General features: G+C 36.4%; 1 long non-coding RNA gene across 6 annotated transcripts in view, besides 1 other annotated feature; it reads right to left on the minus strand.

The window, feature by feature from the left end:
* LOC105374754 (uncharacterized) overlaps positions 1-15,000 on the minus strand; it is a 150,795-nt gene that overhangs the window by 62,925 nt on the left and 72,870 nt on the right. The window lies entirely within an intron of this gene.
* Positions 11,867-13,164: an enhancer, noted in NCBI's record as "VISTA enhancer hs836". NCBI's record gives its function as "enhancer in: facial mesenchyme[5/12]" and the evidence as "EXISTENCE:transgenic organism evidence [ECO:0001131][PMID:17130149]".

Raw genomic sequence — 15,000 nt, forward strand, 5'->3', positions numbered from 1 at the left:
AGTAGACATTATTCTTAGAAAATGAGCTCCAAGAGTTGGAGAGAAAGAGCCCACTCAGGAACTTGCCAAGGAAGCAACACCGGAGTAGAACGAATAGAGAGGCGTTCGAAAACTTAGCTCTCACAAGGCTGAGGTTGAGTTGGAGTGGATTGAGGAAAAGAGGAGAAAGCGTTCTTTTTTAAGCTAGCCAGTTTTCCAGGAGTGTGAGATGCCAAAACTAAGTTTTCCATAAGTTTCAGCACAAGCTCCGCATCTGTCAGCCCTCCAGACTCTGATGATAAAATGATACGCAAAGAGTGTGGTTGCTCCCAAATACCACAGTGAGTACGTCAGTCCCCGTCTGGCATATAATTGCTTTCCTAAATTACCAGCAGGTGGTGCAAGAGTTTCCAAGTCAGTGAACTTCCCCTTCACATGGCTTCTGCTCTGGGAAGTCTGGCAGTAGCCCACCCCTCCTTCTTGAGTTCCTCTCATGATCCTTACATGGCTCCTCTGTGCTCCAATAATCACAAGGGATCGGGAAGCGTCTTTAAAACGCATTTTGTACCTTTTAAAATGTGTTAAATATAAATGTAGAATCAAAGAAACATGCATTAATTATAGAACCGTGTTAAGGAATAGAGAAAAAAAAATCCCATTGCTAGCAAACCCAGCGGAAACACAAGCCTTCCCCTGTTAGCAAAAGAGGAATGGGGAAAATTAGCAGAAACCTTTAGGATTTAATGCCCTTTACCTCCTACTAAGAAGACTATGAATATGGATTTGGGAAAAGGGATTGTTGGTGGGGAAGGGATTAAATTAGCTTAACCGGAAAAATCGAAAGGAATGAGAGGATATAAAATTGGCCACATCCTGAATGGCATTGGTAGCTTCACTGGTTATATAAGAAGTGAGGAAGAATCTCTAATTGGGAATTCCCAGAATGTTGTTTTGGAATATTTCAGGCCAAGGAGGAGTGGGGAAAGTCTGTTTTAAGAAAACACCAGGCAGTCAGAAGGAAGTTCAGCAGGGTTTCCAGACCTGGCTAAGGAAGAGCTGGAAGCAAAGGGGACTAAGGCTTGAGTTTACTTGAAGTGGAATGGAAAACTACATCTCTAGTTGAGAGTGAAACTCTGACAAGGTCTCAAGACAGGGATGCTATGGGGTTCTCGATTTCAGGCATCTATAGCAAAGTGGTAGCAAATTTGGGACTGGGAGTGTTCACACGTCACATGCAAGAATTCAGATGGAGAGACAGATTGCATCATCAAATAGACATGGTATTAATGCAGTTGTGAGTATTTGTATATCTTTGATTAAAGCTTGGAAATGACACTACGGTCTTGCACAAATAGAACTCCAAAGGAAAAAGAAGGAAAATGATAGGCTCTGACACATGAGGCAGAATTTAGTCCAGGCTGAATGGATTGCTTTTTTTAAAGATCATCCCCTTTTCTAAGGAACTTTTTCACAGACCCTTTCCAGGCCTGCCTTACTGTCTCTAAAATTGCTAACTACTCTAGAGAACCAATCTAGAAACACCATGACCAAGACCTTGATATATTCAGTGACTTTGGGCAACCTATTTAAACACTATGGGCCATTACGTTAAGTCCACAAATGTAGAGCCAACTCGCAGTGAAAAGTGTGATGTTACTCTGGAAACAATAATGGGAAGATATATACCATATACAAATATGGGGTGGGGAGGAAGGGAGGACATGGAATCAATTCTATTGCACTCAACTACATTTGCTGAAATCATATACATAAATGTGTTCTAAAATGCAGCTGAAACATGGATTGCTGCTTGAGATTAGGGCTTGTTATGACAATTCAGGATACAGTGATTGTCACTAAAAGATGACTGCGGGCACATAATGAAGTAAAAAGTGCTAGTTGATAGGTAGGTGCAGGTGACGTATGACAGCTAATGAAACAATATAATGTGTAATTGAAAAATGTACTGCCTTGGTTACTGTGAATTTTATTGCCGTCCATAATAAAGGGACCAAGATTGTACATCAACGATTAATCCTCCAACATGTGTCAATTCCTGCATAAATATAGTGAAAGAGGTAGGAGCCCAGTACAGTGTTGAAAAACATATGCTAAGACAAGTGTTAGGCAAAAGCAGAGTAAAAGGCCACATTCTCTACAAAATGGCTCAATTGTCCTCTCCCCTCCCTCCATTTTAGAGCATCTCTCTAGTATCATCTGACATTTTTACCATATTTCTTGGAGAAAGTGGTATTTCTCCTCCTCATAAGGCTGAATATTGAGAATATTTCTCTTCCATAACACATATCAGCATCTAACAAATTTTATGTTTTACTTATTTCATTTTCTGTCTCTTCCTACTCTAATGTAAACTATGAGAGGCAAAGATCTTTACCTTTTTTTTTTCTTGCTGCTGCGTCTCTAGTGCTGAAACGAGTGAGGGATATATAGTAGGTACTCAATAAATGATTTCACATCTTCCTATACCTCTCAGGATCCTTAGACCTTCCCTCTTCCTAGAGATAAACCTAGAAATTTATATTATAAAGATAATAATTTTCCATCAAAGCTACTGTTGTAAATTCCTTTTCCTTTTTTTCCTGCCAGAAACCCCAAATAAGTCTGCTCTTGGCCAACATCCCCATCCACACCACATAAGCTATTTTTTATCCATTGCCCCTCAATCAAAGACTTTTTCAAATTTTACTTCCAAGTTCAAGGGGTCTTTTAATAGCCAATACCCTATGCGACTAATGTGCCACAGTTAGCCTGTTGAGGACTCTCTTCCTCTTGAAGTTTCCTTTCTCTTTTGTCTTCTATGACACTGCATACTCTGGTTTCTGTTCTTATTTATTCAAAGGATATATTTCTGTCTGCATAAGATACCTATTTTGTAACAAATGACACCAAAATTTAACAGATTAAAACAACAATGTTTATTATCTCATAGTGTCTATGGCTCAGCATTTGAGGCATGATTTTGCTGGTCCTCTGCGACATGATCTCTACACTCTACCAACAAACTCAAAACCAACACTCTACAAGACTGCAATCAAGATGCTTAAGGATACACAGTAACAGATAGATAGGAAAAATAAGTTCTAGTGTCCTATATCAATGTAGAATGACGATAGTTAACAATGTAGAGTTTCAAATAGCCAGAACTTGGATATTGAGCTGGGCCCAGTGGCTCATGCCTGTAATCCCAGAACTTTGGGAGACTGAGACAGGCAGATTACTTGAAGTCAGGACGTCAAGACCAGCCTGGCCAACATGGTGAAAACCCGTCTCTACTAAAAATACAAAAATTAGCTGGATGTGTTGGCACATTCCTGTAATCCCAGCTACTCAGGAGGCCGAGGCAGGAGAATCACTTGAACCCAGGAGGCAGAGGTTGCAGTTAGCCGAGATCATGCCACTGCACTCCAGCCTCTGGGAGAGAGTGAGACTCTGTCTCAAACAAACAAACAAACAAACAAACAAACAAAGAGGATATTGAATTTTTCCATCACAAAAAAATGATGAACATTTGAGATGATGGATACACTAATTACCCTGATCTGATCTGATCATATAAATTATATGTATAGAGACGTCACTATGTATACTATGAATATATACAATTATTATTGGTCAATTAAAAATTTTAAAAAAAATTTAACTCAAAGTTTTAAAAAGGATATTGGCCCAGGATCTGTGGCATTATCTGAAAGCTTAATTAGGGACGGATCTGCTTCCAAACTCACTCATGTGGTTGTTGGGATAATTGAATTCTCCAGGACCTGTTGGACAGCAGTCTCAGTTCCTCTCTGGCTGCTGGCTGGGGGCTGCCCTCTGTTCTTTGCCAAGTGTCCCTCTCCATCATGACAATAATGTGAGAAGAGGCAGAGAGAGTGAATACCAGAAAAACGGAAGACACAATCTCTTATGACCTATTCCTGGAAGTGAGATTTTCTCATTTTTGCTGTTTCTATCAACTAGAAACAAGCCACTACTATGTCCTGCCTGCATGCAAAGGAAGGAGATGACAGGAAGGTGTGAAAACCAGGAGACAGGAATTCTTGAGAGCCTTTTAGGATATTGAGTTCCACAGTCACCTTCATTGACTTCTTTCTGTGCTTCTACTCCATCAAATGGACAGTCTTCAACGTTCTGTCCTCACTTCTCTTTATTCTAAAAATACTTCCCTGTTTCTGGCAAATACTCATTAATACCATAAATACTCATGCCATAAAGCTTTATCACTTTTGTGTAATGATTTATATTCATCCTGTTCAACTCAGATGTCCCATAGTCACCTTAAACTCAGTTTATATAAAATCACATGTATTACTTTGACCTTTACTTTTCTTCATGATTATTATGATTCTTTCACCTACCTGAAAATCAGTTTTTGTGTGTGAATATATCATAGTCTTAAAAAAAAAAAACAACACTTTATTGAGTTTATTGAGCTTCCATTGACATGTAAAAAGCTACCTACAATATATATAATTCAATGAATCAAATATAATGTGTACAATTTGATGTGTTTGGGAATAAATATATATCCGTGAAACCATCATCACCATCAAGTCCATAAACATATCTATCTGGGATTCTTAACAGCCCTTTTAAATTTTTCTGCCTTCATATTATATATCTAATACACCCCCAAACCCTATTGGTTCCTCCTATGTTACATCTCTCACATTTGTTACTTATTCTTCATCTTTACCCCAGTTTGGGCTACAGTGACTTTATCTCCAGGATCTCATAATAACCATGTGGTGCTTTCCAAATTTCTACCAACAAAATGTGCTCTGTGCAGCCATCCTAAAACACTGCTCTCATGGTGCTACTGTATTCCTCGAAGCTTTTTATTTTATTTTAAAACAAATGTAGCTTTTGAAATTTTTTGAAATAATTTTAGACTTACAGAAAACTTGCAAGAATTTTACAAAAAATTCCTGTATAACCTTCACCTAGACTTCCTAAACATTAACATGTTGTCAATTTCTTTTATCATTCTATCTCTATATATCCACGTTTCCTCCCGAATTTTAAATGTTCTTGAATTTAATTCCAAATAAAAGGAAACTTCTCATCTTGGCATTCAAGGCCTTATGTATCTGGTCCCAGACTTAATACCAAGAAGTACACTATGCCTAACTGACCTGGTTTCTGTCTCCTTAACAGTCCTTGAACATTCCCATTTTTATTATGCTTTGTGCCACTTACTTTGCAGGAAATGTCTTACTTATACATATTTCTACCTAGCAAAACCTTTTTCATCTTTTAACATCTGATTCAAAAGGTCACTTCTTTATGAAACTTGGAGGCCAGAAGTGATATCTTCCATCTCTGAACTTCTGTAACATTTTGTTTTTTACCATACCTTCTTTTCTTGTGATTATTTGTGCAAATGTAAAGTATTTTGTAACCTTGATTTATTTATAGCCCTTATTATATACACCATCATTATGCTGACATACCCTGGTACTTTTCATTCACTTAGGCCTGGTTAAAGGAGAAAGATTTTTAAAAGGTTGTTTTCTTGGAATTAAAATATATAACTAACTAAGAATGAGGTTATATGAAATCAACCTAAGGGTAACAGATGGCCTATATGACTGGACCATACTTTGAAGATACTAGCATATATAAAGGAAAATATGTCACTCAGAATGGAAGCTGTTCTTGTTAGACATACAGTGTGAGAGACAGTCTGAAGCAATTATTGGCAGTATCTAAACAAGCACTGTCCTGGGTGTGTGGGTAGACCTAAGTTCTCAGCACCAGAGGACACTGTAACAGCTTACTACACACTGTGCACTTGGCTAAGGGCTTTTTAATCCCAGCCTGATTGACTTATCACCTTAACCACATAAAAAACAAAAAATAACATACAGTTGTTCCCCATCTTAAAAGTAAGGAGCTTAGAAAGTTGTAGCCGTTTATTAAGAATTCTCTATTCTGTGGAGGCATGAACATGAACTGGTTTTATTTTCCCAAACATAATTCTGAAAGGTAGCAAGTATTTTTATGATATATCAATAAGATTCTAAACCTTGCTGGTTAATTTTACTTATTAAAATTGCCCAGTTCAGGCTGAAATAATAGTTTCATACCAGATTCAGAAATCTCCCCCTCTCTACCATAAACCAAACTGTATGAGTTTAATGATGGGTTATATCTGCATGTTTATTTGTGTACATTTGTGGGGCGGGGTTGAGGGGTGGTTGGGGTTTCCTCCTTTTTTATGTCTTCCACTCTTCATTCTTCTAAGTTCTGTCTCCTTTGTTGTTGGGCACAGTGAAGAGAGAATTTTTTTTTAATTTCTCACTTTTTTTGTTTCATATTTGAAGGGAAATGGCTAGCAGCTGATTGCTCACATGGAGGGCACACTGTTAATTCACTATAGCCTGGTAGGATTTGTTCCTCACAATTATTTGTACTGTTTGATTAAGAGTGTGAGATACTGGACTCCTCACTTTTTAATCTCTAAATAATTCAAGGACAACAGGAAACCACCCTCTCAACGTTGTTAAAATGATGTGCCCAAGATCTCATAGTTATTAGGTAAGGGGGCAAGAATTTGTCTGAGTGTATAGTACTATACTACTACTAAATATTCAAGTTAATATACTCCCCTAGTTATGATATCCTGCACATCTGCATAACTGCACATCTTCTCGTTGTGGTGGTTCCTTTTTAGATCTGCCTCTAGGAAAAGGATGAGTCATTCAAGCCACTAGAAATACGCTGATTTTTGTGACAGCTATTATTCTCATTGAAAACCGATCACTCTGGTTTCTTTATCAGACTGTGAGCTTGGTTGATGCAACCCTGTCCCCAAGAGATGGATTCATTCTTTCTGTGTTGATAATGTAAACCTTTAAAACTTATAAGGCTGAACAACAGATTCTAGAACTGTGGTGACCTTCCAAAGTCAGAGAAGCACATTGTGCCGCTTCATTGTGGTACCACTTACAAAGCCAGCAAGCAAACAAACAAATTATCCAGCATCATCAATATCTCAAGCCTTCCACAATTAAGATCAATAATTGTGTAGGTTTACCAGGATATGATTGACAATTAAAATGAAAACATCTTTTAATTGAAATAAAATGTATTTTACGTAACATATATGTGTCTGAGAAGGTCAAAGTCTACTTTAGGTTTCTTTTTTAAAAAAACAAAATTAACTTAATACTTAAAGGAATAGAATGTTTTCTGTGATGTAAATATTTTTATTAATTTATTTGTAGATTACTTTTAATTATCAAGGTCTACTTATAATAAAAAATACATTCATTCATCCTGCTAGGTGGCAGTCATCTCTAGTCTTTCATTAAGACAGTATTAAATGTCAGCATACAGAGACATCAAGTTGGAGACAAACTTCTTGATACACATTATATACATATTTTTAAGCAAATCATGTCACAAAAAAATGCTCAGATTGTCATTAACTATTTGATAAGTACAATATATTACTGTAATTTATTAAAACCCAGGTTTACACTTCATGATTCTGGCCAAAATAGAGTAAGCCCATTATACCTATCACTCCCACTGATTTCAACTAAAAACTGGACAATATTTAAAAGGCAACCATCTGCAAACTCTGAGAAGTTAGCAATAGCAGACAAACTAGAGAGACAGCCAAACTTGAAGAAAGACCATAATAGAGATAAATACTTTGACCTGAACATGAGGCAGTAAAACCTCTAAGGAGAAAAGAGCTCCCTGATAGCTAGAGAGTATTAAGAGAAATCTCAGAAAGAAGAAAGCTGGAGATGACCCCCACTTTATATATGAACTGACACAAGTCCTGGGCTAACCCCTAAGCTGTGTATGTGAGTAATAGGCATTAATATGAACCAGCATAGTAAAGGCTTTGGGAATTGAACTGTAATATAAACCACCACCCAAGTCCCAGAATTACCTCTGAGAGATACATGTGCAAAAAAGTCAAAGCAATATAATAAAGACTTCGAAATCATAGCTGACATTGGAAATACCACACACAGAAGGCAAGAAATAATTCTTTAGTCTTAACCTAACTGGGTTGATGGCTTGATAAATTAAAAATTTGACATTCAACAGAAGGTTTTAATGGCACCCAGTCTCTCAAGGTAATATTTAAAATATCCAGGATATAACCAAAAATTACTAGAAGAATAAATAACCAGAAAAATATGACAAAGTCTCAAAAGAAAGATAAATAATAAGACTTAAAGGAATAGAAATAGACAAATTCACAAATATACTTGGAGACTTTAGCACTCTTCTTTGAATTATCAACAAATAAGTAGATAGGAGACCAGCATGGATATATAAGATCTGAACAACACTATCAAATAATTTGATGTAATTGACATTTATTGAACGCTATATCTAGCAACAGCTGAATGCATATTCTTATTAAATCCACCTAAACAAGAACCTAGATGAGCTATATCATGGCTTTTATAGCAAACTATAACACATTTAAAAAATAGAAATAATACAAAATATCTTATTTGATCATAGTAGAAATCAAAACTAAAAAGATATCTGGAAAGTACCGAAATATTTGCAAACTAAATGGCATACTTCTAAATAGACACAGGTTAAAGAAAAAGTCTGAAGTAGACGATAAAATATTTTGAACTGAATGAAATTGATGAGAATGGAGATAAATTTGCAGAATGAAGCTAAAATAGTGCCTAGAGGAAAATTTATAGCATTAAATGTTTATGCTAGACATATAGAATGGTCTCAAACTAATGATCTAAGTCTTCAACTTAAGAAGCTAGAAAAAGAGAAACAAATTAAAGCACAAGAAAAAAGGAACAATAAAAAATAACTGAAATTAATGAAATAGAAAAAGAAATAGAGAAAATAAATGAAACCAAATCTGGTTCCTTGAAATGATCAATAGAATTCAAAAATATCTGGACGGACTGACCAAGAAAAAAGTGAGGATATACTTTTTTTCAATATCAAGCATAAAAGGGGGATTTCATTTCAGACCCTCAGAAATAAAATAGAAGGAAATCTGAAATAATAAGAAAATAATAAAAACATTTGTATGCCTATACATTTGGCAACTTAAATGAAATGGACCAATTAGTTAAAAAGATGGAAACTACAAAATTTATTCAAGAAGAAATAGATAACTTGAATAGCTTTATATGAGTTAAAGAACATTATTCATAATTAAAACTTTGCAGCAAAAAAGTCTAGGACCAAATTGCTTCACTGATGAAGTCTGCCAAAATTTTAAGAAATATGTAAACTTTATACAATTTGTTTTTCAGAAAATAGAAAAGGAAATATTTTGTCATTTTGTCATAAAAAAGCCAGATAAATGTAATACAAGAAACAAGAAATTGAAAACCAATATCCCTCTTACACATGGACATACAAATATTCAACAAAATATTAGCCAAAAAATACAGCAGTACCTGAAATAATATTAATACATCATGACTTAATAGGATCTATTTCACTAATGAAAGACTGGTTCAACATTCAAAAGCTAACCAATATAATCCGTCATAATAACAGACAAAAATGATAATTAAAATAGATAAAGAAAAATCATTTGACAAAATTTAGCATCTAATTTCCTCATAACAAATGATATTGAGCATTTTTATATGATTATTTGACATCTGTATCTCTTCCTCGGTGAGATATCTCTTCAGATATTTTGCCCATTTTTTGGGGGGGTTATTTTCTTATTGTTAAGAGTTCTTTGTGTATTGTGAATACAACTGCCTTATCAAATATTTGTTTTGTAAATATTTTCTCCCAGATTGTGACTTGTCTTTTTGTTCTCTTAAAAATGTAATTTTCAGAGCAAAACATTCGAAAGGTGCAATTTATCATTTTTTTTCTTTCATAGATTATGCTTTTGGTGTTGTTCCTAAAAACTCATTGCCAAACCTAAAGTCACATAGATTACCTCCTACATTTTTTTCTAGAGATTTTACAGTATTGTGTCTTATATTAAGGTTTATGACTGATTTTGAGCTAACTTTTATGAAAGGTGTGAGGTCTGTGTCTAGATTTTTTTCTTTTGCATATGGGCATCAAATTGTTCTAGCAACATTTATTGAAAAGACTATCATCTCTTCATTGAATTGCCAGTTTTCCTTTATCAAAGATATTTGTGTTGGTCTATGTATGAGCTTTCTATCCTGTTCCATTGATTTTGCCTATTATTTTGCTAATCTTAGCCTGTCTTGATTACTGCAATTTTTTATTGTTTCAAGTTGCGTATTGTTACTCATTCAACGGTGTTCTTCTTCAGTATTATGTTGGCTATTTTGATATTTTACCTTTCCATAAAAATTTTAGAGTAACTTTGTTGATACCCTCAAAATATCTTGTTGAGATTTTCATTGGGACTGTAAGTTCTGAAGGAGCAGGGAAACAAAAGGACCAACACTCAGTGAGCATTTACCATGTACCAGGAACTTGACATTGCCTAATCTCATTCAATCATCACAAAATATTCTTATGCTACAAGTATTTCCCCCCATTTTACAGAAGAGGCAACTAAAGCTCAGGGAGAGTAAGTAATTTGCCCAAGTTCACTAAGCTAGTAAATGATATTGCTTTGCTTGTTCCTCTTTCAAAATCCATACCACTTCCGTAATAACCTACTACCTCCCAGACTATTTATCTCACTATCAGCAATGCTTAGTTTATTTCTTCTCACAATGAAGGCACTCAGAATGTGCCTCTGATAGAATTTAGGGGGAAAAAAACTTACATGAAACAAAGTTCATTAATCTGACAGAATATAGAGGAAAACACTTACATGAAATAAGTTTCATTAATCTGATAGAACTTAGAGGAAAAAACTTACATGAAATAAATTTTATTAATCTTTGACTCTAGTGACATTAACAGATAAATAGTTTCCTGTGTGGAGCTCACTTCCTTCATGTAACCACTAAATTCAGAACTCCATCATTCACTGATCCATTTAACAAATAGATATTAAGCATCTCATAAGTACCAGTTTTTTAGGCACTAGGAACACAGTGGTGAGCAGGGGGACATCAAACACATTCACACTCACAGAGTCTCTGACTTCTAGACAGAGATTATTGGTCACATTTGTGTCTTCCCTAAAGATATCCTGGGCATGGGTGTCAACCTTGACATCACCAAGCAACTTGGCTTCTCAGTCATTTGTTTATATTTCTAATTGTCCTCCTGACAAAACAATAGGGGGTAAATAATATACTCAACTCTCTTTGATCCTCACAAGTGAATAATAATGATTGAGTACCCCTTCCCAGAAGAAGGAACAGAATTTACTAATGATTTCTTGTTTAAGAGTTACAATGCTTAGAACAAACATTTGCTCCTTATAAGAAATTTACATGTTGTCTAGTTAGAATGGTTTAAAATGATATTAAAATATTCATTATTCTGTAACACATACCGAAGACCCTGGAACTTAAACTTAACTGAAAATGCACATGTAAGTCAGACCACAGTCTCTTGAAGTTTCTATGGCAAGTTTGTCAAAGTTGGAGAGTGTCACTTACTCCCAGCTGTTTCTAAGGTTCACAGCTTCCACCCCCTCAATACGTTGTCTGAGATTCTTGGCTGAGAGAGCTGTTTGTTTCTTTATTTAGCAAAATCTAGCACAGCTCTGCTTAGCAGAGGGACAAACTGGAATTTGCAAGTTTCTGCATTATCACCCAGGCAATTGCCAACTTGTCACAGGTGTACAGCATGAGAACAATGGGAAGAAGACAGCCGGGGACTGCTATGGACCTGAATGCAGGGGGCTCCATCTGCAATGTCCCACGCACCTTACTGCATCTCACAGGGGAATCCACTTTTCGTGATAGGCAGAGGTGGGGAGTGCAGGTCCTACTTGCGGCTTACAAGACATTTTAAGTCGGCAATTATAAGCAGAGCTGTTAACAGAACGCTGCTTGATTATTATGTTATGAAGAAAAGAAAAGAATGGCAAGGGTAACTTGAAAAAATAAATGAAGTGCAGTGAGTTTTCCGAGAAGCAGAGAATGAAACTGAGAGATTCTTGTTATTTTTAAAAGCTGCTGAGTTGGTCTCACTTCTTTGCTAAGTCTCTCAAGTATTTTTTTTTCCTCAAAAGGCTTGAATAAATACCTGCCCTGCACTGAAGGGGAAATGCAGAGGTTCAGCTTACCGACAAGTGGACAGGTGGCGAAACAGGTATGGGCATTTCTGTTTCAGGTCAGCTTTTCATGGGACTTAATTGAATAATATCACCTCTCACTTTTTCCCTTTTTCCCCCTCATTGATCAAGCTGCTTTTGAGAAAAGTGATACTTTGCATATCTGGCTAAGTACTGTTAACAGCCTCTGCCTGCGGTTTGTTAAAATTAAAAAAAAAAAAAAAAAAAAAAAAAAGTGTGATCTTGCCGGAGAAGTAATTTGCTTCTCTCCAACCAATGATGGCTTGTACTTTATGCAAATTGGTATCTAGGGACAACAAATCCCATTTAATACATATGCATAGTTCATAAAAAAACGACGTGAGAGAAAAGAGGAAAAAAGATAAAGCAACGAGTCAGCAAAAGAACAGGTTCCGAGGAAATTTATTGTCCCAAATTGGACATTTGTAACAGATGATGTGAACAAGTGTTAACTTTGTTTTCAGCAGCTCTTCATGTACATTCACTAGACATCACACAGATTATGTTTTAAGGATCTGAACTGTAATAAAAAAAAGTGTCTATGGGCTTTAGAGTGTTGTGTTCCATATGGTTAGGGAAGTACGGAGTTATTGCGACAAGCATCTTGTGAAGCTCATTACGCGCGGTGGTGTTAGATGCGAATTGCCGCGCATAGCTATAGGGTACGTACATGACATCCCACAGTCAGCAGATAGCAACTGGAAATGAAAGATATGAAGGCACAGAGTACAGCTTCAGGGAACATGTTAGACAAAACATCTGCTGGTATCAGAACACTGCATTATCAGATCATTGTGGCCATGAATTTTTTATAGACACTTTTTTCCCCCAAACCGCAACTTTGAAAGTGACATTTTGTGCAAAAAGTTTTTGATTGAAGTGTGATGTCAGGAGGAAGTCCAGTGCTGTAAGTCGTTGTATAGACAGCCGACACTGGCAGCTCAAGAAAACTCCTTTTTGCAAAGTGGGGCAACCTCGACTAGGAGAATTTATGCTGCAGTGCATGCACATGGGAATGCATAAGGAAGAAAGTTTTCTAAGCAAAAAACATGACTGAGATGCTTTGGTCTTTCTATGCCACTCGACATGTGGACAGGTTCATATTCTAGACATTCACTTAACACTTCCTTTCTTCATGTGGAGAAAGGGTTGGTCAGGAGCTCCAATTAAGCAAGGAGGCAATATTCCATCAACTCATCTCTTGCACTCTGCTTGTTAATGGCAGCATTTCTCTTGTGCCACTTCTGCCTGAGAGTGGCTCTTATAAGAGATTCCTTCATTGCAGGAAACATGCATGGATGAAAAACTAGTTGAGTTCTGATTATTGGGAGTATACATTAGCAGCCCCACAGTCCTTTAGAGAGGGTGGCAGGAAGGCCTGAAGCGAGGGAAGCAGTAAGGAGATGGTTCTCACCTTGAGAAAAGTTAAAGGTCCTGATATTTAGGACCCATTACAGGATGTCATATATTTCATCTTGGAAGATAATAAAGCACATCTAAAAGCATTATGACTTATGGAAGAATCCGGCTATCGATAGCCACCTTTCTGTTAGTGTGGTTCTGAGAAATGGAATGATTTCACTGATTCTGACCACCCAGGCCATGGGGTATAGGGATAAACATATTTCTCTTAAAAGAGCTAATGTGAAAGAAGAGTAGAGGAAAAAGAGCTCAAAGACAAGTGGCAGGTCCTTGAAATGGATTCTGGAGAACTAGAGGAAGTGCTTTTCTCTACAATGCAACCAGTATTCAATTTAACGTTCTTTTCAATAAACCACTGGATTCCTCTTTTAGCCCATTAGAAAAGTGACACACTGGATGAGATCAGAGTGTGAGGCTCAGAAACTCTCAAGAGTCAGACTATATTTACTCATGGCAGCAGATATGCAGGAACATCTGTACAATAATTGGCAATAGTTCCAGCCATGAAAGAGAAAAGTAAAAGGTACTCATGAATGAGTAAGCACCAACTACAGAGCTCTGTACTTCACAGCTCTAAGCTGTTCTCTTACCATTCTACACAGTTTTCCCATTTTCTTTTTGTCTTATTTTCATCTTTCTTCTTTATTTTCTTTTAAGAAAAGCAAAGTGAGGAAGAGGGTTGCTTTTCATTTTTCATAATTCCTTTTTTCTACTGCTTTGTAGAAGAGATACAAATATAGAGAAATACCTTCTGGGAAAAGGATATATTCTCTATTATTCTCCCTGAAAGTTTTGATGAGCCATGAACTGTACACAGAAAGATGCGAAAACTCATTCATTCAATAAATATTTACTGAGCATCTATTACTGCAAGTGGCCCTTGTGCCAAGAACAACTACAATTTTCAATAACTGTATTTATTTATTTTTAATATTATTTTTGAGAAAAGGTCTTTCTCTGTTGCCCAGGTTGGTGTGCAGTGGCACAATCATGGCTCACTGCAACCTTGACCACCAGGCTCAAGTGATCCTCTCACCTCAGCCTCCTGGAAAGCTGGGACCACAGGTGTGCACCACCACACCCAGGTAATTTTTTTATTATTTGTAGAGTTGAGGTCTCACTATGTTGCCCAAGCTAGTCAGGAACTCCCATACTCAAGCAATCCTACTGCCTCAGCCTCCCAGAGTGTTGGGATTATAGGTATGAGCCAGTGCATCCAGCCTTTATTTATTTTTGAAAAATATTATAGATAAAAAATTAATAAATAATACTCAGAGCCAAACATTAAGTAAAAGAGGGGAAAGAGAGAGTTAGGTAACCTTCAGCCTGGTTTTGTCTTGAGAACATTTGCTGTTCCAAGTAAATTTAGCTTGGTTTTTCTTGATCTCTGAGGGTATGGAAAAGACAAAGTCTAGGGATCA

This window comes from Homo sapiens, chromosome 2, assembly GCF_000001405.40.
Source record: "Homo sapiens chromosome 2, GRCh38.p14 Primary Assembly".
Lineage (NCBI taxonomy): Eukaryota > Metazoa > Chordata > Mammalia > Primates > Hominidae > Homo > Homo sapiens.